The sequence below is a fragment of the Homo sapiens genome, chromosome 17 (genome assembly GCF_000001405.40).
Source record: "Homo sapiens chromosome 17, GRCh38.p14 Primary Assembly".
In the NCBI taxonomy this organism is placed as follows: domain Eukaryota; kingdom Metazoa; phylum Chordata; class Mammalia; order Primates; family Hominidae; genus Homo; species Homo sapiens.
The window spans coordinates 27,469,959-27,497,190 of NC_000017.11; the positions used below are offsets into that span (position 1 = coordinate 27,469,959).

General features: G+C 48.5%; 1 protein-coding gene across 17 annotated transcripts in view, besides 9 other annotated features; it reads left to right on the plus strand.

The window, feature by feature from the left end:
- The window catches only part of KSR1 (kinase suppressor of ras 1), a 169,988-nt gene that overhangs the window by 13,511 nt on the left and 129,245 nt on the right, over positions 1-27,232 (plus strand). The window contains exons 1-2 of one of the 17 annotated variants that reach the window (NM_014238.2): positions 2,006-2,122; positions 13,700-13,893. The exons of 13 other annotated variants lie outside the window; for them this stretch is intronic. The gene's annotated coding sequence lies outside the window, so the exon portion shown is untranslated. Of the gene's footprint in view, positions 1-2,005; positions 2,123-13,699; positions 13,894-24,998; positions 25,066-27,232 lie in introns of those variants that run through there. 3 more of the 17 variants (XM_047436989.1, XM_047436991.1, XM_047436990.1) reach the window with 3 other exon arrangements.
- Positions 1,879-2,643: an enhancer, noted in NCBI's record as "H3K27ac-H3K4me1 hESC enhancer chr17:25798863-25799627 (GRCh37/hg19 assembly coordinates)". NCBI's record gives its function as "activates a minimal SCP1, AML or CMV promoter by ChIP-STARR-seq in primed H9 embryonic stem cells {active_cell/tissue: H9 hESC(primed)}" and the evidence as "EXISTENCE:reporter gene assay evidence [ECO:0000049][PMID:30033119]".
- Positions 2,644-3,408: an enhancer, noted in NCBI's record as "H3K27ac-H3K4me1 hESC enhancer chr17:25799628-25800392 (GRCh37/hg19 assembly coordinates)". NCBI's record gives its function as "activates a minimal SCP1, AML or CMV promoter by ChIP-STARR-seq in primed H9 embryonic stem cells {active_cell/tissue: H9 hESC(primed)}" and the evidence as "EXISTENCE:reporter gene assay evidence [ECO:0000049][PMID:30033119]".
- Positions 3,630-3,679: an enhancer, noted in NCBI's record as "active region_11902". NCBI's record gives its function as "activates an Ori minimal core promoter by ATAC-STARR-seq in GM12878 lymphoblastoid cells {active_cell/tissue: GM12878}" and the evidence as "EXISTENCE:reporter gene assay evidence [ECO:0000049][PMID:35858748]".
- Positions 3,700-4,029: an enhancer, noted in NCBI's record as "active region_11903". NCBI's record gives its function as "activates an Ori minimal core promoter by ATAC-STARR-seq in GM12878 lymphoblastoid cells {active_cell/tissue: GM12878}" and the evidence as "EXISTENCE:reporter gene assay evidence [ECO:0000049][PMID:35858748]".
- Positions 5,443-5,956: an enhancer, noted in NCBI's record as "H3K27ac-H3K4me1 hESC enhancer chr17:25802427-25802940 (GRCh37/hg19 assembly coordinates)". NCBI's record gives its function as "activates a minimal SCP1, AML or CMV promoter by ChIP-STARR-seq in naive H9 embryonic stem cells {active_cell/tissue: H9 hESC(naive)}" and the evidence as "EXISTENCE:reporter gene assay evidence [ECO:0000049][PMID:30033119]".
- Positions 7,105-7,399: an enhancer, noted in NCBI's record as "tiled region #12304; HepG2 Activating non-DNase unmatched - State 23:Low, and K562 Activating DNase matched - State 5:Enh". NCBI's record gives its function as "activates a minimal TATA promoter and a strong SV40 promoter by Sharpr-MPRA in HepG2 and K562 cells {active_cell/tissue: HepG2 | K562}" and the evidence as "EXISTENCE:reporter gene assay evidence [ECO:0000049][PMID:27701403]".
- Positions 9,183-9,684: an enhancer, noted in NCBI's record as "H3K4me1 hESC enhancer chr17:25806167-25806668 (GRCh37/hg19 assembly coordinates)". NCBI's record gives its function as "activates a minimal SCP1, AML or CMV promoter by ChIP-STARR-seq in naive H9 embryonic stem cells {active_cell/tissue: H9 hESC(naive)}" and the evidence as "EXISTENCE:reporter gene assay evidence [ECO:0000049][PMID:30033119]".
- Positions 25,996-26,065: an enhancer, noted in NCBI's record as "active region_11904". NCBI's record gives its function as "activates an Ori minimal core promoter by ATAC-STARR-seq in GM12878 lymphoblastoid cells {active_cell/tissue: GM12878}" and the evidence as "EXISTENCE:reporter gene assay evidence [ECO:0000049][PMID:35858748]".
- Positions 26,806-26,855: an enhancer, noted in NCBI's record as "active region_11905". NCBI's record gives its function as "activates an Ori minimal core promoter by ATAC-STARR-seq in GM12878 lymphoblastoid cells {active_cell/tissue: GM12878}" and the evidence as "EXISTENCE:reporter gene assay evidence [ECO:0000049][PMID:35858748]".

Here is a 27,232-nt window from a genome sequence, read left to right on the forward strand (position 1 = left end):
AATGGAATTACTGGATCAAAGAGCATGGAGATGGAGTGTGTGTGTGTGTGTGTGTGTGTGTGTGTGTGTGTGTGTGTTAAGACTTGCCAAACTGTTCTCCCATTTTTTTTTTTTTGAGGCGGAGTATCGCTCTGTTGCCCAGACTAGAGTGCAGTGGTGTGATCTCAGTTCACTGCAGCCTGCACCTTCCAGATTCAAGTGATCCTTCTGTCTCACCCTCCTGAGTAGCTGGGATTACAGGTGCACACCACCATGCCCAGCTAAGTTTTGTTTTTGTTTGTGTTTTTTTTTTTTTTTTTTTGAGACAGACTCTCGCTCTGTGGCCCAGGCTGGAGTGCAGTGGTGCGATCTCGGCTCACTGCAACCTCTGCTTCCCGGGTTCAAGCAATTCTCCTGCCTCAGCCTCCTGAGTAGCTGGGATTACACGTGCCCGCCACCACGCCCAGCTAATTTTTATATTTTTAGTAGAGACAGGGTTTCACCATGTTGGTCAGGCTGATCTCAAACCCCTGACCTCGTGATCCACCCACCTCGGCCTCCCAAAGTGCTGGGATTACAGGTGTGAGCCACTGCGCCAGGCCTAAGTTTTGTATTTTTAGTAGAGACAGGGTTTCACCATATTGGCCAGGCTGATCTCAAATTCCTGACCTCAGGTGATCTGCCCACCACAGCCTCCCAAAGTACTGGGAGTACAGGCGTGAGCCACCACACCTAGCCCCTCCATTTAACTCCTGTTGAATGATAGCTGTTTTAAAAATTGTACTCCTGGGTAAGTATCTCATATTTTTTACAATTCTTTCTGACCTTTGTACCTTTCTTCTTCTCTCCTTTATTCTCCCCATTTTTTGACCTTGTTAGATATTCCTTATCTTGAATTTGCTATTTCTCTCTTCTGTGCATTCATTCAGTGACTTTTTTTTTTTTAAATTTCAGACAGAGACTCACCCTGTCCCCCAGGCTGGAGTGCAGTGGCACAATCTTGGGTCACTGCAACCTCTGCCTCCCGGGTTCAAGCGATTCTTGTGCCTCAGCCTCCTGAGTAGCTGGGAGCACAGGCACGCACACTACACCCAGCTAATTATTGTACTTTTAGTAAAGACAGGTTTTGCCATGTTGGCCAGGCTGGTCTCAAACTCCTGGCCTCAAGTGATCTCCCTACCTTGGCCTCCCAAAGTGCTGTAAAGGCGTGAGCCACCGTGCCGGGCCCACTCCAGTGACGATTTATTGAGCATCTGCTCAATATCAGGTTTGTTTTAGGCACTGTTTTAGGCACTGAGGAAGGAGCAAGGAAGAAAATAGAGGGCTTCCTTCAGTGGAAAGAGAAAGATAATACACATGCCAAACAGACAGACGTGCTCTCAGAAGAAAACTGGAAGTGGGTTAGAGAGAGGTGGGGGTATGGAAGAGGTGACTTCTTTAGATGGGGTGATCGGGAAAGGCCTTCCCAGAGAGGGTGACTTTTGAGCTGAGTCTTGAAAGATGAGAAGGCCACTGTAGCCTGGAGGAGTGTTCCCGGCAGAGGGACTGGCTTGTGCAAGAGCCCTGAGGCAGAATCGAGCTTGGTGTGGTCAAGGGCCAGGAGGAGGCTGGTGTGCCTGGAACACAGTGTCAGGGGAGGATGGTTGGCCTTGGGGTCAAGGAGGTAAGCAGGGGCATGGGGCTGTTTTTTCAGTGCTGGGCCGCAGGAGAGAATTAATGCACCAACTCAGCAAACAGGTGTCCTCCTACTTCCCCCTCCGCCCTCCTGGCCGGGTTTCGTGCCAGGCACTGTTCTGGAATATAAGAGTGAATGAGAGATGTATTGTGCTCCAGAAAGCCAGCTTAGTGGGGGAGTTTGTGGATGAGTAAACTCATAGAAGGTGCTGGTGAGGTGTGAATGAAGGCTCATCAGGCCGCGCAGCTGACTCATCTCTGTACTGAGGTGTGTAGGGACTTGGGAAATGTGTCTTGATTTGCACGGAACTGTGCTCTGTGCTGTCAGCCTTCACCGTGGTAACTGAAACTCAGTTCTCTGATGTAAAGCCTGGCAGTCCCGGCCTGCTTGGGGGCACCTGGACCCCTGCCAGGGAAGGGGTCCTCAGACTTGAGGTTGCCAGCTCAGATGTGGGGCTGCTGATACTAGGTATGAGTGTCTAGGCTCCCAGTTATGGGAAACAAGACCAAGAGACAGCCATGGGAAACCCCCTTCTTACTGAGCTGCCTGCCCTGACCCTTTCTCCCCTGACTGCGGACTCTGATTTGTGGCTCTGGTTGGGAATGTAGATTTGGGGACATTGTGCTCCTCATGGGTTTCTTCCCGTAGGATGGGGCAAAGAAGGGGTTATGAGATTGAGCAGATGCTTCTGGGAGTCTAGAGTGTACTCACATAGCGAGGTGTGGACCTCATGAGAGTGCCTGGAAATAGCCTGGTGGAAGATGTTGGCACCATTTCGTTTGGAGGAGGCTGAATGACTCATAAGCCCCGGGGGGCTCTGATGTCATTGAATTAGGGGCCTCCTTTGACCAGGGTTAACCAGCACCTTGGGTTCCTTGCATGTAAGCTTGTTGCTATTAAATAAATGGGAAGTGGGCTGGGCCCCGTGGCTCATGCCTGTAATCCCAGCACTTTGGGAGGCCGAGGTGGGCCGATTACCTGAGGTCAGGTGACCAGCCTGGCCAACATGGTCAAACCCCGTCTCTACTAAAAGTACAAAAATTAGCCGGGCATGGCGGTGGGTGCCTGTAATCCCAGCTACTCAGGAGGCTGAGGCAGGAGAATTGCTTGAACCTGGGAGACGGAGGTTGCAGTGAGCTGAGATCATGTCACTGCACTCTAGCCTAGGCAACAGAGCGAGACTCCATCTCAAAATGAAAATAAAAAAAAAATGGAATGGAAGGCCAGAATCCTGGGAATGTATCAGTAATAACTCAGGGCCCTATCCCTTCCTCCCACAGTTATGGCTAATGTGAAGTGGACCTGCCCAGGTTTTTTGAGACAGGGTCTCGCAGTGTTTCCTAGGCTGGAGTTCCATGGCACCATCATGGCTCACTGCAGCCTCTGTCTACCTCTCTGGCTCACCTTCAGCCTCCCAGATAGCTGGGACCACAGGTGTATGCCACCATGCCCAGCTAGTACCCAGGTTTAAGGCAGCAAGATTCTGACAGCAGTTCTCTCAGTTAATTTCTCAGTAATGATAACTTTATGAGCCCATGTAGGTGATGAAATAAGGCCCAAAGTCACACAGTAACTGGTGGAGCTGAATTGTCTGAATTTCCATTTGTGTTCATTTCATTGCCCTCTTTAGAAATTTGCTTGATCTTGGGTCTTGTTCAGGGCAGAAAGAGATAATACAAGGCTTTGGTGATGCTTAGCATTTTAGAAGAAGTAATGCTGGGTGGAAATGGATTTGGCAGTCTCGTTTTTCGCATCATTGGAATGGGAGTCCCTCACAGTTGGAGACAGGATGAAGTAACAGAGCGTGGGGATCTGGATTAACAGGTGGCCATTCGCAGAAAGGAGGCTGCAAAGCAAGAGGTGGGGGCTTCTGGCTGAGCAGGAAGGTGGGAGAGGGGCATCCTTGTGAGGAGCAGCCTGTAGGGCTGGGGTTTGGGCAGCAGGCAGGCAGAGGACTTTATCTGATCACCTCAAATAATTTTGCCTCTGCTTGGAAGGGTTCTAGCTACAAAGGCAACATAGCAGGTAGTGCTTGGGTGTGATGGTGATAGGCACAGCGGTATTTTAAATACTGGTGGTACATTTTAGGAGAAAGAAGGTGACGAGTCCCTGGGGAGAGTCCCTGTGGTGGCCATGACTCACCGTGGCACAGGGGACAGAACAGAACAAGGAAGAATCCATCAACGAATGGAAACTTGTCTTTTTAGGGGACAGGAAGCTTTTTTTGTGTGGTTGGCCTGGTGGCTTATGAGGAGAGGTGAACATTTGAGACAAAACCCCAGGCCACTCTTCCAGCTGCATCTTTGACAATTTTGAGAGTTTTAGGAAGTAGTTAAAAAAAGAAAAAGAGAAACCAAAAGCCAAAGACCTCGTTTACTCACAATACCTGTGTACAGCCAGCCATGTGGGCTGCGATCGGCCATGTGTCTAGAGGAAACTCCTTCACTTGCATCCCTCCCTCCTAGACCCCTAAACCAGAGGGGGCTTTTGACTATTCTTAGAAGAAGACTTAGGCGGCCTCAAATGACCAGACCTTGTCTCAAGCATCTAACAGCTTAGGCCAAACTTCCTCTCTGGCCCTGTTTGGTTTAAGCAGTTTCCTGGTCTGGCAGGATTTGTTATCTTAGCACCCAGCTTGTCAAAGCCGTAGTGCTACTTGTTATAGCAAACAGGCCCCTGTCACCCTGTGGCTGCAAGCCAGGCAATGCTTATGTTCCAAAAGTCAGACCTGCTGTTCTTACTATAAAGCTCTGCTGGACCATGGGTGGCTTCTATCTTTGGATGTAAGGATGGGAGGATGAGCAGCACCTCATGCTGTGTAAGAGCACAGGTTCTGGTGGTTGACAGCCTGGATTCAGGCTGCACTGCCTTTCTGGCTAGCTGTGTGTCTTTGGGCAAGTTGCTTACCCTTTCTGAGCAATAGTTTCCTCATCTGTGAAATGGGGATTATAATGGGGTCGTTTTTCATAGTAAGTAAGATGAGCCATGGAAAAGCACAATGCCTTGTGCAGAATGAGAATATTTTTATATTATAATATTACTATTTATTTTATCGACAAGTGTTTAATTAGCACCCATTAGGGACTGGGCACTATTCTTAGCTCTGGGGAAAATAGCAGTGAACAAAATGGACACAAATGTAGACCTTGTGGAACTTACGCTTCAGTGTTGGGAGGAGACATTCAGATGACAAGTAAATATCACCTGGAATCCCAGTTACTTGGGAGGCTGGGGCAGAAGGATCACCTGAGCCAGAGTTCAAGACCAGCCTGGGCAACATAGCAAGATTCCCATCCCTAAAAATACCACACACACACTAAGGAAAATGTGTTATCTGTTAAGTGGTAAAAGTGCTGTGGAGAAAATGAAAGCAGGGAGGGGTGCCTAGATGGTGGTATAATTTAAAGTGAGGGGTCAGGATGGGTTTGCAGAGGAGGTGATATTTGAGTAAAGACCTCAAAAGGGTAGAGAAGGGCTCCATGGGGATACAGCTGGAAAAGAGCTTTGGAAGCTGAGCTCATGTGGAAGCCAAAGGGGAGTGAACCAGGGTTGTTGGAAAACCCTGGGGCCAGGGGTGAGGCCACAAGGGGCCCTGGGCATGACATTTAGGGAGGTGCTTGCTTTCCAGTACCCACTGCACTCACGGGTCTCTGAGCACAGGTGTGAAGGAGGGAAGAGTAATGAGAAGAGAAGGTGGTGAGAGGTGCTGTGTTTATGTGGGCTCTGCCTCCATCCTGTAGGATCCACAGGTGATTTTGAAACTTATGTCTTACTAAAAAATGGAGTTTTGGGGCTGGCACACTAACCTACTGACTTACAGAAAGTCACTTTCTGACTGCGTGGGCAGGTGACAGAGCGCTGGCCCGGGGCAGGCTGAGGCTCTGCCACTCACTGAGGGCGTCAGGTGGGTGAGCCATGTTTATTCATCCAGCAGCTTTTACAGAGCTCCCACGGCAGGAGATCATGCTGGCACCTGCCCGGTATTACTCTCTTCATCTATGACACGGGGACAGCGATGCCCTTCCGTCCACCCCATCCTTACAGGGGTGTTCCTCCTGAGGCAAGAATGCAATAGAAAAGCAAAACAGAATGTATGAGGCTATTTGCATTATCCATAATACAGAAAAAAATGAAAATAAGGTAGCTGTCCAGTGGTAAGGGGAGGTTTGGCAGACCATGGCACAGCATGCGATGGGTGGGTCATCACACACACAGATGTCAGTGACAGAGGCTGGGTAAGAACATGAGCATATTCATACTGTTACATCGAGGAAAAATACACAGTATTTAAGATTGCATGTATGTGGCATTTGTAGTCCTGTAAATATGTGATGATATGTATGCATATGGGGAAAACTAGAGGTGAAATTGAAATGAGTTATTTGTGGTGGGACTGTTTTTCTTTTGCAAAAATTCCTTTATTATTGCTATAATTGCATTCCTTCATTTATTAAAGTAATGAATATTTGAGCACCTCCTAGCTATCAGGCTCTGAGAAGGTGCTTGGGTAGAGCAGTGGACTGGACTGCACGGCTCCTGCCCCGGGGGGACCATGCTCAGTGAGCGATTCTTGAGCCCCCACCCCTTCTCAGCGCTCAAGGATTGAAGGCTAATGAAGTGGTGCAAAATTCAAACTTTCTGGAATAAAACGGAGAGTTGGTCCTCCAGGTTCTCTGCAGGGCGCTTGTTGAGCCAGTCCCAGATTCTGCTGAGAAACAGGGAAGTTTCCAGAGTTGCCACCCCCTCCTGAGGGTAGAGAACTCAGGGGTAGAGCTGGCTTGGCACCAAAAGGGCTCCCTGAGTCTTGGCTGCTGGGACTTGAGCAGTGCTGGGGCGCTGCCGGTGAGCTGTGATCCCATCTTCTCAGGGAGCGCCCCTGCCTGTTTGACTGTGGTGCCGTTGGTATGAGAGGTTGCCCCAGGAAGGAGACCGCAGCTGTGGGCTCATCTCCTGGGTGCCCAACACTCACAGGGTCCACATTGCCCGTGATGTGCCCTGGGAAGCCCATGGTTGACTCAGAAGGACTGAAATGTTAGACAGCCACAGATGGTCCCACTGCCCCCACTCTGAGAAAAGCCCTCTGGCTGTTTGGATGAGGGTGGTGGCGATGAGGACATTTGTAACTGCAGCACACATGTAAGGCCTGCTGTCTATGTTCTGGGCTCTCAGATAGCACTGGGAATACTGTACCCCACCAGTCCCCTCCATGACAGGAAAGGGGTCCCGATCCAGACCCCAGGACAGGGTTCTTGGATCTCATGCAAGAAAGAATTCAGGGCAAGTCCATAGAGTAAAGTGAAAGCAAGTTTATTAGGAATGTAAAGGAATAAAAGACTGGATGCTCCACAGACAGAGCAGCCCTGAGGGCTGCTGGTTGCCCATTTTTATGGTTATTTCTTGGTGATATGCTAAATAAAGGGTAGATTATTCATGCCTCACCTTTTCAGACCATACAGGGTAACTTCTTGACATTGCCATGGTATATGTAAAGTGTCATGGCGCTGGTGGGAGTGTAGCAGTGAGAACAACCAGAGGTCACTCTTGTGGCCATTTTGGTTTTGGTGGGTTTTAGCTGGCTTCTTTGCTGCAACCTGTTTTATCAGCAAGGTCGTTATGACCTGTGTTTTGTGCTGACCTCCTGTCTCATCCTGTGACTTAAAGTGCCTAACCATCTGGGAATGCAGCCTGTTAGCTCTCAGCCTTATTTAACCCAGCTCCTGTTTAAGACGGAGTTGCTCTGGTTCACATGCCTCTGACACCTCTAGCTGCCCTGGAAACACCAGAGTTTCGTTCTTACCTCCTATTATACAGGGAACTGAAGCCCAGAGAGGTGAGTTAGACTCTTGAGGGCACACCAGTGGTGACAGGCTGAGATTAGAATTGTAGTCTGGCTGATGACCAAGCCCATACCTTTGCAGTTTCTTTGTCACAGCTCACTGGACTGTGGGGTGGTACAAGTTAAAAATCTGTCTACATAGGGAAAACGGTGATGTATAGACCCCTGTCTGCCTCCTGCTCCACTTCCGGCCCATCCCTCCCAGAATGCCATCATAGCCCCTCCACTTCTACGCCAGATGCTTCAGGGGAAGTTCCCTGTTCTCTTCTTTTTTTTTTTTTTGAGACAGGGTCTCACTCTGTCACCCAGGCTGGAGTGCAGTAGTGCAATAACAGCTCACTGCTGCCTCGATTTCCTAGGCTCAAGCAATCCTCCTGCCTCAGCCTTTTGAGTAGCTGGGACTATAGATATGCGCCACTACACATAGCTAATTCTTTTATTTTTTGTAAAGATGAGGTCTCACTATGTTGCCCAGGCTGGTCTTGAACTCCTGGTCTCAAGTGAGGCCAAGGCAGGCCTTGGCCTCCCAAAGTGCTGGGATTACAAGGCGTGAGGCACCACACCTGGCCTTCCTGTTGTCTTTGAGGGAGACTAAAGCCCTCTAGCTTCAAAGGAAGGAGTTCTTCTTTCTTTAAGGACAGACTATGTCATGACCTTTTTACCCAGAAATTCCAGGGCTTAGCCCAGTACTTGGCACACAGTAAGTGCTGAGGAATTGAACGAGGGTTCTGGAGTATGTGCTTTAATCAGGGCTAAACTAACCTCACAGCATTCCTAGGAAAATAACACAAACCGGTATAAAAGGGGATGGTGTCAGGGTTAGGAGTGTGGCCTCTGGGGTCAGACAGCCTGAGTGTGACTGCGCCTGTGCTGTGGACCCTTCTTACCTTGGTCAAGTTATTTTGCTTTTCTGGGTTCCAGTTTCCTCATCTGAGGAATGGGGACATACGAATGGGGACAATGTCATACCTACTGTTTGGGGCTGTTATGCGGATTATTTATTGTTTTTTGCATGACGTCACCACATTGGTCATGAGATGTTGTGAGGATTAAATGAATATGGTAGGTGGAGTAGGGCTTTGTGCCCAGTAAGCGCTTGATAAACATGAGCTGTCCATTATTGTTCTCTGGGGAGAATCCTGTGCCCCCAGGTGTGGGTTCCCATCCTGTCTGTGGCTTCAGAGTCCAGACCTAATGCCACCGACCTCCTTGCCCTTCCTGCACCCCTACCATGGATCACCATTGGAGGAGTGGGGTTGGGGGCTTATCACCCCAGGAAGATTAGATAAATTGGGAAGTGGGGAAGTCTTGGGCAGACTCAAGACCCCTGAGTCCCAGCTTTGTCATGCTGTGACCCTGGGCAGGTCCCCTCCTGGGAATCCATTTCCTAATCTGTGAAATAAGCACGACTGTTGCTGGTGTCACGAGAACATGGTCAGTGCCATAAAGCATGTGGCGGGTGGACTTCCATCCATGCTCCTCCCTTCATCCATGCTCCTCCCTCCATTCATGCTCCTCCCTCCTTCCATGCTCCTCCCTACGTCCATGCTCCTCTCTCCCTCTGTGCTCTTCCCTCCCTCCGTGCTCCTCCCTCCATCCATGCTCCTCCCTCCATCTATGCTCCTCCCTCCCTCCATGCTCTTCCCTCCATCCATGCTCCTCTCTCCCTCTGTGCTCCTGTCTCCCTGTGTGCTCCTCCCTCCATCCATGCTCCTCCCTCCATCCATGCACTTCCCTCCCTCTATGCTCCTCCCTCCATCCATGCTCCTCCCTGCATCCATGCTCTTCCCTCCGTCTGTGCTCCTCTCTCCCTCCATGCTTGTGCATCTGTGCTCTGCCCCTCCTCCCCCATCCATGCTCCTCCCTTCATCCGTGCTCCTCCCTCATCCTGGAGTGCCAGACCCACTGCCAATCTTATGTGAGTTCACATAACCCACATCAATAAGGCGAGAGCAGATGGGTGGCTGGGTTCCCGTTCTCGCTGCAGCATCCCAGGTTGCACCCCTCACCTCTCTTTGCTCTTCCTTTTGTTCCTTCTGAGGCGGGTGTAGGGAAGGGAGGAAGGTGCCGCTCCTAGTGCAGGTGACAGGGATGGGCTGCTCTGACCCACACTGGCCCTCCACCTGCTTTCTTTGCTCAGTTGAGACCCCTTCATCTCCTTCAAGTGCTGCAGGACATGAGACAGACGCTTGGACTTCCCTTGAGAGCTGGGCATCCCAGACCTCTGTTGCGGCCTCCAGGGAGTGGGTAGGTTCTGGTTGGAAGGAGGAAGGGCTTCAATGGGATGTGAGCCTCAAGCACGGGAGAGAATTACATCCCTGGGTCCAGATGGTTGAAAGGGGCCATTCCTGAGCCATCTGCAGAACAGGTGCTGTGGCATGAGAATGACTGACTAACAGAGGGGTGGCGGCACCACACAGACATTAGAGGGTGACCTGTGCTGCGGGGGCACCTGGGTTGGACCATATTCTCTCGGGTGTGTGTGAATGTATGTAGGTGTCTGCCTGTGTGTGGGTTTGTCTGAATGTAAATAGGAATTCTTGGTGACATTCAGGGAAAAGTTTAATGATAAAGGGGTCTTTTAAAATGCAAGTCAGCTCTTTTGCATCATCTGCAGAGACCATTGACTCTCATTCCACTTGGGGCAAAAGCCAAAGTCAAGTCCCTAGCTTCTGTCCTTCACCCCATTGCTCATCCTGCTCCAGCCCCTTGGGCCACCTTCCTGTTCTCACATCCCCTAGATGCCCCCAGGCCTCCTCCCCTTGCCTCCACTCCCAGAGTGAGGTCTTCTCTAAGCAGCCCATGTAATTGTGAACCCTCCTGCCTCCCCCACCTAACACATACTGTGGTATTACTGACTTGTTCATTGCGTGCCTCACCTCCCTAGAATGAAAGCTCCACAGGGTAAGGATTTTTCTCTTTCATTCACTGATTTTCTTTTCTTTTCTTTTCTTTTTTTAAATTTTTAAGACAGAGTCTTGCTCTGTTGCCCAGGCTGGAGTGCAGTGGTGCGATCTTGGCTCACTGCAACCTCCACCTCCCAGGTTCAAGTGATTCTCCTGCCTTAGCCTCCTGAGCAGCTGGGATTACAGGCATGCTCCACCATGCCCATCTGATTTTTGTATTTTTAGTAGAAACAGTGTTTCTTCATGTTGGCCAGACTGGTTCTCAAACTCCTGACCTCAGGCGATCCACCCGCTTCGGCCTCCCACAGTTGTGAGCCACAGCACCTGGCCTATTCACTGATGTTTTATCCTCAACTCCTAAACAGAGTAGATGCTTAAATAATATTCAAATGAATGAAAGAAGGAACAAAGCAAGTTACTAAGAAAACTGCCAAGGCCTAGTGCAGTTTGACACTCAGAGCCCAGTAGGACCCATTGAGTAGTTTTCCGATGTTGGAAATAACACCAGTGGATCTGGGCTCGATCCTCCTTAGTCGCATGCGTGTGTGTTTTCTTCTTTTGTATCAGCCAGGATAATGCAGGGTGTGTTCCAGGCCTCTGTGATTAAGGTTTCAGTAACACTCTGATGTCATTTTACAAAACAAAACTACCTTTGATGGAAACAGCTTATTGTGTCTTTAGCTTTTGTTGTTTTTATTATTTACATCTCTTGACTTTGTTTTTTGGTCAAATATGCCAGAGACATGAAACCATATACCTCAACAAAGTCCTGTAAGTTAGATACTCAGCTTTGTTTACACTTCAGGTAGTTTTTTTTTCTTAAAATAGAAATTTTATTTTTGGGAATTTTTGTGAGTTTCGTGATTCACATACTGCTGTGAGTTACTGCTTGGACTGCTAGGTTGGGAGGCTGTAGACCTGGGTCTGCCGTGAACTGCTTTTGTGACCCAGCGTCCTGAGCCCCAGTTTTCTTGTTTGTGGAAACAAGGTGAGGGAATTGGACTGGCTGATTTCTTCTGAAGTCTCTTTCAATTCTTTAATTCTGTCTCTCATGGGCCAAACTCACAGAGATAGTAATTTAAGTTCATAGCACATACGTGCCATATTTTAGCTGATAAGGCATGCTGCACCTTGTACATAAGATACACGTAGGTACTGTGGCCCTTCAATCACGAGTCAGCCTCATGGCTTCCTGTCGTGTGGTTGTGGACTGTGGAGCCACCAGCCTTCCTGCTTGACTCTCTGGTGACTGCCAGCATGATGAGTGGGGCCACCTGCACTTATATAGCTATCTCCATGCCATGGAAACTCATCCTTTTGGGGGTTCAGCTTCAGGGGGTGCAGTGGTTTTAGGTTACATGGATGAATTGTAGAGTGGTGAAGTCTGGGATTTTAGTGTACCCATTTCCCAAGTAGTGAACATTGTACTCCAATATGTAGTTTTTCATTCCTCACCTCCCTCCCACTGTCCCTTCTCCTGAGTCTCCACTGTCCATTATACCAGAACTGTAGATTTTATTGCCAGAGTTTGAAGCTGGTGCCCTTGGGCTTTGGAGACGATTTGGTTTAAATCCTGAGTGCTATGATGCTAGTTGTGTTCATTGATTGGACTCTGTATGTTGAACCTTAATTTCTGTCATCCATCAAATGAGGGCAACAGCTTCTCTCTGAATGTTTTTGAGGGTTAAATGTTATAGCGCATGCCAGCTGCTTAGTAAAAAGCATAAATGTTGTTGGTGGTGCTGAGAAAGAAGAACTATTATGATGTGGGGGTAAAGAACATCTCCAGGCCAGGCGTGGTGGCTCATGCCTATAATCCCAGTACTTTGGGAGGCCAAGGCAGCAGGATCTCTTGAGACCAGGAGTTCAAGACCAGTCTGGACAACATAGCAAAAAAAAAAATTATATGTATATAAAAATTATATCCATGGCCCTGGGGTTGCAGGAGCAGGGATTCACTGTCTGCAGAACACCAGCAAGGAGAAGCCCCCATCTTTTGGAGTTGCTGAGGCAGATAGTGAGCCTGAATGTGTACGACCTCTGGTAACTGTGCTGCAGGTGGGAACAACCCATTGTTTACGTTTATAAGATGCTAGCTCAATAAAGTTACATGAGTCTCGGCACTGGAGATTTGTGTTAAGGACCAACTATGATTTAAAAATAATTTGGCCCCAGGATGTTAATTGCAGCATTATTTTATACTGATGACGAATTACAAATCACCTAAATATCCAGTATCCTATACCTACAACCTTGGGATAGTGTGTAAGTAAAAGTAAAACTGGAGCACATTTAGACCTATGGCACTTAAAAACAGCAAACATTTGCTATAAAGAATTACTACTTGAGAAGATATTAATGATGAACCACTAACAGGCAACAAAACAGGTTACCAAACAGTATGACCCCAGTTAATTATTATAAATGAAATAAGTGGAGGGAAAGTGAAGGAAATGCATACAGTTGTTAAAGGTGAGTGGTTTGTCCACCATCAGTGGATAGTGGCCTAATACTTAACTTATTTTCCTTTTTTCTTTCCCAATTTTTCAATAAACCTACATGTCTCGTGTTGGGGGGAAAATCATGTCATCCACAAAAAAATATTTTGGCTGGATTTTCAGTACTTCAAAATGTGACAGACATTTCTCCCATGTTATTTTTGTGCCCACTGCCAAGTTTTAACCATTTCATTGCGCAGGCCTTGTCCCTGGCTTAATGTGGTTATCTGCTCATGTGATGTGGTTTGAGTCTACAGGTAAAAAAATAGATTTTTTTTTTCAAGTGTGTGAACTAGGAACTTGAGAATGATGAGGGAGAAAATGGAAAATTCACATAGCAACTCATCAACAGGTTTTTTGAAGTGAAATTATGTGCTCTTAAAAATAATCTAAAACCAGGAAAGAGCACGTTAGAGCCTATCAGCTCAGTTGTGAGGTAGAAATCACAGACCCAGCTGGGCACAGTGGCTCACGCCTGTAATCCCAGCACTTTGGGAGGCCAAGACGGGTGGATCACCTGAGGTCGGGAGTTCGAGACCAGCCTGATCAACGTGGAGAAACCCTGTCTCTATTAAAAATACACAATTTGCTGGGCATGGTGGCGCATGCCTGTAATCCCAGCTACTCAGGAGGCTGAGGCAGGAGAATCGCTTGAACGTGGGAGGCGGAGGTTGCAGTGAGCTGAGATTGCGCCATTGCACTCCAGCCTGGGCAACAAGAGCGAAATTCTCAAAAAAAAAAAAAAAAAAAGAAATCACAGACCCATGCTTTTCCTCTGTGACTTTATGTGTCATTTCTTTCTTAGGTGACTGGACTGATGTTCTGTTCTAGATGAAACTCCTTGAGGGGACCATTTGAAAAGGCTTGATGTGCTGCCCAAAGCCCCCTTCAGAGCTGACTTCTCCACCCCCAGCTGCCGTGAGCCTTGGCTGCTGACAGCTCATAGCTGAGTCCCTCCCGTGAAGTCACCTTCTGCTGAAGGGTACATCCTCTCCCAAGGTGACCCCCTCCAACGTTTAGTGTCCATTGTAATAATGCGTCTACAAAAATAGACCTTTTGAAGGAAGAGATAAGGAAAGCTCTATTTTCTTCCTGCAGCTCTCTTTGAGGGCCTCTGGATGGGAATTCCTAGATGGAGAACTCCCTGTGTTGCAGTGGTGGAGGGTGGGGAGCTGGGGATGTGTCTCTCTTGTATCTGCAGTGCCAGGTTTAGAGGAGGCTGACTTGGGGTGTGAGAAATATTTGCTGGAAGCAGACAGAGAGCAGTGAGGTGCCAGTGACCTTGGTCAGTCCCAGTGTTGGAGGCTCCAGTGGGGAGCCGCCCTTCCTTCGAGGAGGGTTCTGTCCTTTTCACAGATTTCAGAGAGTGATAATAATACTTGTTATTTATTTATTTAGAGACAGGTTCTCGCTCTGTCGCCCAGGCTGGAGTGCAGTGGCACAATTTCGGCTCATTGCAACCTCTGCCTCCCAGGTTCAAGCAATTCTCCTGCCTTAGCCTCTGGAGTTGCTGGGATTACAGGTGTGCACCACCATGCCCGGCTAATTTCTATATTTTTGGTAGAGACGGAGTTTCACCATGTTGCCCAAGCTGGTCTTGAACTCCTGGCCTCAAGTGATCTGCCTGCCTCGTGCTGGGCATTACAGGCGTGAGCCACCATACCTGACCCCGTTGTTATTTATTTAGTGAACATTTATTGAGTACCTAGTGTATGCCAGGCATTCTGACACATGTCATGGGTACAGAAGGAGGAGCCCTGATCCCCAGCATACACACAATTCCTATCCAGTGTGATGGGGAGGTCCCTGGGGAGCTTGAGGTCCTGCGAGGGAGGGAGGGCGGGCAGGTGCACAGAGAGGGAAACAGCCTGCCTGCCTTGGGGCTAGGGGTCAGGATCTGCCTCTCAGAGGAGCCGAAGCTTGAACCTTCTTGATCAGAAGAGCACGGAGGATGCTCCAGGCAGGGGATTAACCGGGGAGCTGCGCAGTGTTCGTAGTGGCTGCAGTGTGCAGGGAGTGGTACATCAAATCTGTAAAATGTGTCTCAGAGCTTTATTAGGAAGTGTATGTGAATAGGCTCCTTTACCAACACTGTCCTCCCCACGGAGTTGGGGATGGAAGATTATCCCCACTTTTACAGGTGAGGAGACATCCCAGAGAGGTTAAGACAGTTTCCCCAAGAGGGTTATTGGTCAAGCCTGGATTGAACCTGGCTTCCTATACCTGGCCCACTTCCCCAGCCTGGCAACACTGCCCCTGCCTAATACAAGAGAGTCCACCAGCTCTCGGGCCATGGCTGTCTGTCATGGGGGCAAGTATGCCCACCCTGGACTGTTCTCTTCTCTCACATGAGTCATCTCCTGGGTTGTCAGCCTGGCATGGTGTCCACATGTGGGCTGATGGGTCACCAGGACCCTTGGTCTGAGCTGAGGCAGAGAGGGCAGGGTGATGGGTGGATGCTAGGCTCTTGCTGTGTTTGGAACTGCTGGGGAGACACTCCCTCTCCCCCACTGTCAATCTGGCTTGCACGCTCCCATTCCTGGAGTTCAGATGGGTGGGGTTGGGAGTCTGGGAGCAGGAAGTAACAGGCCTGACTGGCCCTCTGCAGACAGAGTAGATTTAGAGGAAGCCCAGAACCTCATGGAGGGGACACAGGGCTATGTCTTTCACAGTGGGTTTATTATAAATGAAATAAGTGGAGGGAAAGTGAAGGAAATGCATACAGTTGTTAAAGGTGGGTGGTTTGTCCACCATCAGTGCCTAATAGTTAACTTATTTTCCTCTTGGTACTTTTTTTTCCTTTCCCAATGTTTCAGTGAACCTACCTGTCTCACGTGTTGGGGGCAAAATCGTGTCATCAATAGGGCTTGTGCACAGGGCTGTGTCTTGTGTAGTGGGTGGGGAATGGGCCTTGGAGCCAGCCAGACCTCACTTTGCCATTTGCTGGCTCTGTAACCTTGGATGAGTGACTTAACCCCAAAACCTTGATTTCCTTTTTTGTAAAATGCATCTCTCCCACCCAGGGCTGCTCCCCCGAGGATTGAAAGAGGCTCTGTGTGCAAAGAGCTTAGCTACAGAGCTGCTATATCTTAATTCATAGTGAGTGTTCTCCAAACGTTAGTTCTTCTAATTAGTCTTCGTGCTTCTTAGTGTGCCTGGCTCACAGTGGGGTAGGATTTGAAAAGAACGTATGAACTCAGGTTTATGAGTGTTTGTTAAATAAGGAAGTATTAGAATTTGGATTAAGTTGTTTCTGGCCTCCAATACATGAAGCAGGCATGGTGGATTTTTGCTGCAAGCAAAACCATCCTGCTTTCTTAACTTCCCCTGGCTCTGAGCATTTGTGATTCTTCTGCACAGCCCTTCGAGGATTTTCTTTAATGTAAACACACTGACAAGGGTGGTATTTAACAACTGGAGTCTGGTTTGGCTCCGGGTACCCACCGTTGTCTTGGGTCTGGCATCCAAGGCTGCTGAGCTGGTGAGTCTGGTGCCTGGTTGGCATGAAGGCATCAGGGTAAGTGCTCCCCAACCCCATCCACCCCGCCAAATGTGGTTGTGACTGCAAAGTGGCCAGTATGTGGAACTCCCTAGTGGGCTTGCTTGGCATCAGTTTGCTGGGAGGATCTCTGCTGAGGACACAGGAGTGGCCATGCAGGCTGACAATGCCTGGAGAATAAGGATGGGAAGTGGGGGCCCTGGAGCCCGTCCACCCATCTGGGTGTACACAGGCTGGAGGCAGCAGCCCCGGGGATGGGGTAGGGAGGCTTCAAAGCTCGGAGTGCCAACCTTGACTGTGCCCTGTGACTCCTACCTTGGGATTTGTGGTCCCCTCCCTGAATTCTCCCTGCCCACCTGAGACTGCAGTGGGGGAGGGAGCTGTAGGAGGCACAAGCAAGGCGGGTGGTTTGGGGTTGGAGTGGCCTGGGAATCCCTGGTTGAGAGAGCAGGCTAGATAACACGGGACTGCAGGTGGGACACTTGGCCTCTCTTCCCGAGTCTACCACTCACTTGCTGGGCAGCCTTTGACAGGACATTCAGACCCTCTGCGCTGCAGTGTCTTTAGCTGTAAAATGGGGAAACTGTCGCCTTGGGTACTTTCCTGATCTATGATGCTGAAACACACTGGAGAATTGCCAGTGACCTTATTTTTTTAGATAGGAATGTGGTAAAAGACACTAGAAAGCTGTAAAAGAATATAGAATGAAAGAGTAAACCTCCCTTATACTGTGTTAGTCCATTTTATGTTGCTATACAGGACTACCTAAGACTGGGTAGTTTATTTAAGAAAGAGGTTTGTGGCCGGGCGCGATGGCTCACGCCTGTAATCTTAGCACTTTGGGAGGCCTAGGCGGGTGGATCACCTGAGGTCAGGAGTTGGATACCCGCCTGGCCAACATGGTGAAACCCCGTCTCTACTAAAAATACAAAAATTAGCCAGGTGTGATAGCGCACGTCTGTAATCCCAGCTACTCGGGAGGCTGAGGAAGGAGAATCGCTCGAACCTGGGAGGTGGAGGTTGCCATGAGCCGAGATCGCGCCTCTGCACACCAGCCTGCGTGACAGGAGCGAGACTCCATCTCCAAAAAAATAAGAATAAAAGGGGTTTATTTGGGCTGGGTGTGGTGACTCACTCCTGTAATCCCAGCACTTTGGGAGGCCGAGGTCGGTGGATCACTTGAGGCCAGGAGTTCGAGACCAGCCTGGGCAACGTGGTGAAACCCCATCTCTTTTAAAAAAAAAAAAAAAAGGTTTATTTGGCTCACAGTTCTGCAGGCTGTACAAGCATGGCTGTACAAACATAAATTTTATGGTTTTTTTTTAGAGGCGGCGTCTCACCCTGTCGCCCAGGCTGGAGCAAGTATAGTGGAGCATCTGCTTCACTTCTGGTGAGACCTCAGGAAGCTTTTACTCCTAGCCGAAGGTGAAGGGGGAGCAGGTGTGTCATGTGTCTAGACAGAGACCGAGAGAGGAGGAGGTACCAGGCTCCTTTCAACAACCAGCTCTCACCTCTTGCTTGAACTAATAGTGTGAGAACTCACCCATGACGGTGGGGACAGCACCAAGCCATTCATGAGGGATCCACCCCCATGACCCAGCCACCTTCCACCAGACAACACCTCCAACATCGGGGACCACATTTCACCATGAGACTTGGAGGGGACAAATATTCAAACTATATCACATACCCAGTCCCACTGCCTCCCAGTGTCCCTGGTCAGAGGCATTCATAACAGCTTTTAGAGATTTTTTGTGCATGTGCACCCATAAATGTGCACATGTGTTCCAGCCTTTAAAATTTTTGAATTGTGAAATATCATACATTCAAAACATATATAAAGTTTAAAGAATGATAAACTGAACACCCATGTACCCACAACTCAGGTTAAGAAGTGAAATATTCCCAGTCTCTAGACCCCTTCTGTGTTCCACAATCCTTTTACTGAAGTGAGAATATGCTATTTATGCTCTTTTTACTTTTTTTACTTCTGTCTGGCTCACATGTCTTGTTTTTTTTTTAATAGCTGATAACATTTCCTCTATCTGGATGTACCATTATTAGTAGTAGTTTTTTTTAAGCAATTTCCTCTTGATAGTTACTTAGGGTGTTTCCAATCTTTTGCTGTTACCAACAATGCTGCAATAATTTTTCTGGCTTCCAAGAACTGACATTAATTAGAATGTGCTATGAGAAGTCCTATTAGCTGAGCATGGTGGCTCACTTTGGGAGCACTTTGGGAGGCCAAGACAGGAGGATTGCTTGAGTCTAGGAGTTAGAGACCAGCCTGGGCAACATGGTGAGTCCCTGTCTCTATTAAAAAATAATATTAGGCCAGGCGCAGTGGCTCACGCCTGTAATCCCAGCACTTTGGGAGGCCGAGGCAGGTGGATCATGAGGTCAAGAGATCGAGACCATTCTGGCCAACATGGTGAAACCCTGTCTCTACTAAAAACATAAAAATTAGCTGGGCGTGGTGGCGCATGCCTGCAGTCCCAGCTACTCGGGAGGCTGAGGCAAGAGAATTGCTTGAACCCGGGAGGCGGAGGTTGCAGTAAGCCGAGAATGTGCCACTGCACTCCAGCCTGGCGACAGAGCAAGACTCCATCTCAAAAAAAATTTTTTTTTAAAAAATGTCGTGTTGTCTCAGCATCTCTGACCTGTCAGTCCTTTCCAGAGCAATACAGAAACATTTGCAGCACGAAAGCCCTGCATGGCTCTAGTCTCCTAACATGTTGATGTCCTGTGCCACTCTCCCTGTACCTGGGTGGTGCCAGCATTCCTGTCTGATGCCATGCCTCTCTGGAAGCCCCTGGGGGCCGGGCCCGTGGGAGAGTGTAGGATCCTCATTGGATCCTCAGCTGGGTGTCTGCCATGGGCGTGCCCACATGCAGGGTGTGGAGAAGTATGCTGATGGGAACTCAGCTGCAGGCTTGGCTCCAAGCAGAGTTCCTTTTCTTTTGATTGTGCAACATCCCTGCGAGGGATCTGGGTCTGCCCTTCTGCTTTTCTTCATCTTCCTGCAGTGGGGAATGAGGCAGGGGGCCTGGTTTGGGGGTTCAAGCCCAGGCCACTTGAGCTTTTGAGACGAGGCTCCTTGTTTTTCTTTGCTTGCTCCATCTGCCACTTTCCCTTTTCTCTTCTCTTTTGTTCTTTCTCCTTTTCTCTTTCTTCATCCCCTCTTTAGACTACAATTCCTGGTAACCCTGGCTCATTCTTCCATCCGTGTGTACAAAAGTTCTGGCTCTTCTCTTTCTCCCCCATCTGAATGAGATTTGGGGGCAGTAGAGTGAAAGTCAGAGACAGTGAATTGGAGGTTGGGGCCCTAGCCTGCTTTTGCTTCTTCTCTCCCCTGTGGGGCTGCTCTTCTTGGTATCCTCACTGCCTCCTCATTCAGGTGTGTGGCTGTGAAATGAGACCAGATCTGCCCAGGAGGAGGTCATGAAGAATCCACAGTAGGGAAGATGGGGGCCCAGGGGTTGGGAGGTGGCTGGGAGGTCCGCAGGGAGAAAAGGAGGGGCAGCTGCGTTCTCAAAAATGACAGTGTTTCCTTGCTTCACCAATCTGGGCAGAAAGGGCTGACCCAGAAGCTTGTTGCATACAATTGGTTCAAAGAGGCCAACAGGCCAAGATCTGGAAGCATTGTGTGTGTGCATGTGTGTATACCTGTGTGTGTGCTCAGACCCTTCACTGGAAGATGGTAAGGTGTCGGGCAAGTGTGTGGACTCTGGGATGGATTGCCCAGGTCCATTCCTCTCTACCTGTTATCAGCATCCTGGTGGGACCTTACAGAAATAACTTCTAAGTCTCCGTTTCTGCATTTGTACAAGGGGGCTGTTGAGAGGATCAAATGGGATTATCCTTAAAAAGTTAAGCATATAGTAAATGTTATGTAAATGCTAGCTATTATATGAGGTGGTTTTGTTGATACTTACTGTAAAAGACCACAGCAGACTATCTCATTTATCATGGAAAATAAGGTTTTGTTGTAAAATTATGAGAAAGTTATTTTTACATAAAACCATTTTATCTTCCCCATTGTTAAAGAATGAAGATGAACGGAACCTTAGAGTTCATCCTGTGGTTTTCAAAAACCTTCGCCAGAGCAATCCCCCTTTTTTTCCCGAGTGAAATCTTACATGGAAAGCCAATGTATAAATAAGGTGAAATGGAAGCTGTACTGGTAGGAGGATCAGGGGTGGGGGTTACAGAATGTAGGCAGCAAAGACCTGGGGGGTCTTCCTGCTGGCTTCCTGAGCCTCATTCTTGTGGTCCAGGGAGCAGTTTGCAACTCTAATACATAATTGAGTTGTACAAATAGGTACTGCCTTTTTGGACGGTAATTGATAGTATTACCCTTAGGCAGCTGACCCCTGTAAATTACCATCATTATTGAAATTGAAAATGTATGTTCCTTAGGATTCAGCAATCTCACTTGTGGGACTCTGACACCTATAGAAACGATAGGCTGTACACATACAAGCATAAGTACAAGGTTGTTCATTGTGTAAAGGGTTAGAGACACCTAAATGTCCAGTAACAGGGGAAAGGCTGAGTCAATTTTGAACTTGCTTAGGTAACCATAAAAGGGACAAAGTAGATCTATGGACTGTCTTGGACAGATTTTCGTGATATATTCAAGATGCAGAACAATATATATAGTATGATCCTTCTTTTAAAAAACCATATGTATATGTATCTATAACTGTGTGTGTATCTATACACACACATACACACATATACACACAGATACACAAAGCACTCTAATTTTTATGTTTATTTTTTTAGAGGTGGAGTCTCATTCTGTCGCCCAGGCTGGAGCAAGTATAGTGGCATGATACTAGCTCACGGTAGCCTCAAACTCCTGGGCTCAAGTGATCCTCTGGCCTTGGTCTCCTGAGTAGGTGGGACTATAGGCTCATGCCACCAATCCTGGCTAATTTTTTGTTAGTGGTGTGTGTGTGTGTGTGTGTGTGTGTGTGTGTGTGTGTGTGTGTGTGTTGGGGGTGGGGTAGGGGCGGGGGTGGAATGTCTCGCTTTCTTGCCCAGGCTGGTCTTGAACTCCTGACCTCAAGTGATCCTTGTGTCTTGGCCTCCCAAAGTGCTGGGATTACAGGCACGAGCCACTGTGCCTGGCCACAAAACACTCTAATGCTCATTACTTTAGGAACCAGCTGGGAAGGCTACAGACCAAACTCCTAATAGTACTTACTTGGGGGGATAGAGGGGAAACTGGTGTTTTTTACTTTATAGTTTTCCCCTGTCCACAAAGGGTGGTACTTTGTGTAATTTATTTCCTAGTTGGTGTTTTCTTTCAAATTAAAAAGGAAGGGAAATAAAAGTATGCTGGTCATCATAGAGGTGAGAAAATGACTCACAAGGGGGCGGTGGATTTGCCCAGGGTCGCCCAGGTCTGTGTGGGGAAGTGGCCGGCTGTTTAGTGTGTGCAGCAGGAGAGCTCAGGGGCTCCGACTGAAGTTAGTCTGCTGGGAGGCCCCTTGCTCCTGCCTTGTTTTTGCCCTCACAGGCTGGCTCCAGGGCTACACTCCTGCTATACTCTGCTCACCATCTGTTAAGGGAGCAGTTGGTAGGCTGTGAGCAGCGCCTGCCTCCCTCCCATGTCTAATTTAACCAGTCACCCTTCTCTCCGTCGGCCTCCACCAAGGCTGTGGGATCATTCTTTAATTACTTACAGGGGTCAGTCACCTGATGGGACGCCTTTGCTGGAGACAGACGGTACTGACAAGCAGATTAGTTGCACGTTGGGAGGTGGGAGGAGGGAGGAGACGAGGAGAGTGTGTGTAGCAGATACGAGTGGGTGGCTTCAAAATAGAAATTCATGAAGGCTCTAGGAAAGTAATTTTAAACACTGTTCATTTAGAGGCTGTGGTTCAGGGGTGAGCAAAGCTGGAGGCAGCCCACCCAGCACATGTTGACCTTGCTTTCCCGTCAGACTTGGGAGGGAGGAAGGCAGGAGTCTCCTCAACTCACCTTTGCAGAGCTCTGAAACTGGGTCTGTTCAAAGTTACACCTGCTCGTTTCTTGTGCCCGTGAATTCCTTTCTAGGAATGATCAGGCATCCATAGGCAAGATCTTCCTCGAGAGTCAATAGACCTGAGCCCAAATGTCAGCTCTGTGTCTGAGCTGCCATGTGACCTTGGACAAGCTGCTTCCCTTCCCTTGCTTGGGCTGAGTTTCTAACATTCCCAACTCAGGGGATCAAAAGAGGTGAGTCCTGTGGACTTCCACAGCTCTAGAATGTTCTGTGAGTAATATGCCCCTACTTGCTGTTTGCAGGGAGGCAGCCATGAGTTAGATAAAGCCCCGGAATTCGAGGCATCCATCCCTTCATGCTGGCCACCAAGCAGACCTGTGGATGTTGACTTGTCTCTTGTCTGCCCATAGATGTTGGCTTGGAATAGGGAGGAGGTGGGACTTATTTTGAGCCCGAGTTCCCCATGTACAAAATGGGGCTAACAGGATTTGTCTTGCAGGGTAATGAGGATTTGTGAAAACATGGTTGAATTCCTGGCACATGGTAGGTGCTCATTAAATGGTGTTATACACTTAGTACTTGGCATTCCCAGCCTTACTTTTTGTCTTTGCTGGAAATATATTCCATGCGGGGAGGGAAATGGGAATGATCTTACTTTATAGATGCCACTTCATAGAAAGCATTGGCACTGGGATTGCCAGCCTTTCCCAAAGCAGTGTGTGTTCCTTCATCATTCTGCTGATGATGATCATTTATGGAGCAATTTACTATGTGAGGTACATGATAACCCCAGTCTCCTTTAATCCTCGTGAAACCCTATGAAGCAATAAGGGACTATTATTATCCACACTTTATACATATAAATGAAGAAAGTGAGGCTTTGTGAAGTTGAATGATGTTCCCAAGGTCACCCAGTTAGTAAATGCTGAAGCTGGAGTCCTCAGTCTTAGTTATTAATGTAAGCTTGCTTTTCAGGACAGAGAGGGCTTTGGAGGACCAGGAAGGGCTCCAATTCTGAGGCAAAGGCTGTGAAACACCGGGGTCAGGCAGGAAATCATGCCCTTGAATTCTTTAACAGGGCAGATTTTTTAAGTCAGAGACATTAACGATCAGCTCCGTATAATGTTTATGGCCTGTGTGACCCTGCCCCGTGGTGCTCGGTAGACCCCACTGCCCATGTGTGCCTGATGATTCCATTTCTGTCTTGCTTATTGCAAGTGACCTTGAATTACCTAAAACCCAGGGAAATGTGTTCTTAATCTGCCCTTTTAACAATGCTGATTTTACCCTTCCAACTCAGATTTAAATAACCTTTCCTTCTGTGTTGTCGTGAGTGTAAAGAAGCAGCATCATGAAAAAGCCCAGCCCTAAACTCTCTGTAATTATGGGGTATGGTGGAGAGGGAGGGGCACTGAAAAGGAAATAATGGGGTCGTGAGACCATTGGAAATTGCACTGGTTATATTCAGTAGCAGAGCTGGAGATTTTTGCCTGCTGCTGGGAAAAATTTAAAAAGCAAAACAACCTCTGCCTCAGCCTTGGAGGTTTAGCTGTTGAATTTACTCCCTTTAATTTGAGGCACCTGAGGCTCCCATTTTGTGGTGTGATTGGCTGGACTTTCCACCACTTCTTCCTCTCTCTGGCCAGAGAGAAACTTGGGGACGCTGAGGTGGTTTGTAGCAGCTGTCATCAATGTCCGCCTTTCATGTCCACAGTGGTTTGGAGCAGAGGCCCAGAAATGCTTGGGGAGTCTCTGTGAATTCAGAAGAAGTCTCCTTCTCCCACTCCGCTGTCTGACAGCAGGTTAAAAAAAAAAATTACAAAGAGCTTCCAGGAACAAAAAGTGGAGATGATTTTTTTTATGGCCCTTAAAGACTTGAAATTTGCAGGAGAAATGCCGTGTGGTTGCGTAATTCTATATGTGGAGTATCTGGAATTATTCCTGGAGAGGCGGGCAAGCACCCAGATTAGAGATGTGTAAAGTGCAGTTTTGTCTTGCAGTCCAAGCAGGTGAGCATTCAGGCCTGTGGGAAGGAAGGAAGGGAACAGCAGGTGGCAGTAACTGGGAAGCTTGCCTCTGAGTGAGATTAACTAGAATGTATTTTTCCGCTGCATTTAAAGAGCCAGTGAAAGGGGCAGATTTACCCAGGGTCACGTGCCTGGTCAGTGCCTTAAATGGACCCAGGGTGTCAGCCCCCTCTGCCTCGACTTCAACAGAGTTAATGTTTCCCCAGAGACTAATAGAGGGACCGATATTAGGGATTCCGGGGACAAGTACGAACAGGTCTTTCGATTTACATTTAAAAGCAGTAGAGAGCAGGAAGGAGATTTCTGGCATTTGTGCAGTTTAAAAACCAACTAGACAAAAAATCTTGATGGAGCTGTTTCCCAATCAGCCTGGCAGTCCTCTCAGCATTGACGTCGTGAGAATGAAAGCTTCTCTGAGAGTGCCATTGGGCGGTGTCCCTTCCAAGTTCTCCAGGAAGCAAATTTTGGACCCTGGCCGCTGACTCAGTGTGGCCTGCTGGGTGGCTCCCTGTGCCTGGGAGGCGGCCCTGTCAGTGTCCCTGGGCTCAGCCCATAAGCAAGTGCCCCAGGTGATCCTGCTCCCATTCAGTGACTGGAGAGGCAGAGGGAAGGGGCTCCCGGGCAGTGCGGGTTCCAGGTGGGCACAGCTGGTAAGCCGGGCGGCTGGGCAGGGCTCTGCTTCAGGTGTGCAGAGTGGGTGTGAGTTCTGCACAGCACAGGAGGTGGTTTCTGCCCTTACCCATTGGGCAGGGAAGGAAGCTTGAGAAATCAGACTTGATTTTAGCAGGACAGGAGCTTGTGGGCTTCTGAAAGAATGCACGCCTCAGTGGTACAGGGTTCTGGGGGTATATGCAGCGGCTGCTCCTCTCCTCCTCCCCTGAGCCCTCTAATACTGATCTCGCACTTTCCTGGCCTTGTCCAACATCTTGGGAGGCAGAAAAGCATAGTTTATATGTGTGCTTGTCTTTATACAAGGCTCTGTGTGTGAGTGTGACTGTGGGTGTTTATTTAACTCAAGAAAAGTCCAAGGGACCCCTCACACAGAGGAGGTGAGGTGCATTGGACAACCTGGGCCAGGACTTGGAGGACATGTCTGCCCCGATGATGACTTAGGCCCAGTCCCTTAGTATCCTTGGGATATAGCCCCCTGATCTGCCCCAAAGGTGGAGTTGGGCGACAGGAGGGAGGCTTGGAGATCATTTCTCGTGTCCCTTCCAGCTCTGAAATCTGTGAGCAATGTTGTCCAGTAAGGCTGTCTCTACCAGGTAACACATGACTGCCAAGTGGGTATTTTAATCACTGTGATTTCAGAATAACAGGGCGAGCTCTCACAGAGCATTCATTGCTTCATCGATCATGCAGTCCCTGTGGAACCTGAGTTGATGGCGGGTCTACAGTCAGTTCAGTTTACTTGTAGCTGTCATTGATCAGGTGCAAACATGCTTTTCAAAGCCTGGAATCATTTTTTTTAAGTTGGATCATATTTGCTTATTATAATTGGTAAAATTTGAGTGTTGCCCCTAGGCTCTCAGAGGGAACAGTTTGGAAAGTGCTTCCTTCCAAGAAGAGACGAGATGGTACTGCGCATAAGCCTCCTTTAGGGTTGGGTCTTTATGCAGGCAGATAGTAAGTGCTTCTGGAACGTTTTGAGTTCTGCCCCCTACTCCATGAGCCGCCGCAAGATCTGGCTTGTTGGGACCTCATGGGCCAGTGGTCAGGCCCAGCATTATGAATCTCTTTTGGCCAAGTTCCTGGGATAGGCCTGTTTCTTCTTTAATAACTGCAGTGTGAAACAAGTCTTATTTTGAGTAAGAGAGTGAGGCCCCGGGTGGCGTTTTTGTGTTTGCCTAAGGGAGATGCCTCATCTCCAGCCACCCAGATGTGACTGGAGAGAGCCATGATGCTGCTTTTGTTTGTCTCTAATTACACTTAATAAGATGGGGGCAAGGGAGGAAGGCATAAGAGTGCCATAGAAACTCCAATTTCCCCTAAAATTAGAAACCCTGAAACTCATGAGTTGAATAGAAAAACCTAGATAATTTGCCGCCCCCTTTCTCTATTTTGTTCACCTTGCTGGCTGATTCTGCCTGATTTTAAGTATTTGAAATATGTCTCAGCCAGATTTTCTGGTCCTCTTTCCTCACCTCTCCCCTCCCTTCCAACAGAAGGGAGGCCCCCATGTGGTCTTCTTGCCTAGCTGGGCCTCCTGTGCCCCAGAGCGAGAATCTGAGAACGCAGGAATTGGGTTGGGACTGTGGGAAATTTGCATGTGCCATGGTAACCAGCAAGGGGATCCTGGGGGATCTCAGGTTAATGATTAAGCCCTGAGCCTTCATTCAAGCCAGGCAGTGGCAGTGGCCCTCAGGATTTGCAGCCACCTGCCAAACGCAGGGCCTCTTACTTCTGTTAGCTTTTCAGGCCGAGTGAAGATGGAAACTGTCTTGGAGGGATACCGAGGGGCTGGCCGTGTGCTAGTGAATTTGCTAGCAGCCACAGCCCTGCCGTGTCCTCCTCTGAGATGAGAGTGTGGGCCAGCAGGTTAGAACTCTGAGGTTCAGCTTTCATCAATTGCACTCAGTTTTAAAAGCTCACATTTGTCTTTCTTTTTGCGTAAGCAGAAAGCATCCGACCCTTCCTGCTCTGGTGTTTTCTAGGGGCAGCAGTAAGTGGGCTTTTCCTCCTTCCCTGTTGGGCAGGAGAATGCGGAGCTGCTCATTAAAGTCAGCAGATGAGCAGATATTTGGTCTTCAGCTCTTTCATTTCCACCTCTTTGCGATATGAGACAGCAGACGTTCCCAAAAAGGGCTTGCGGTTTAT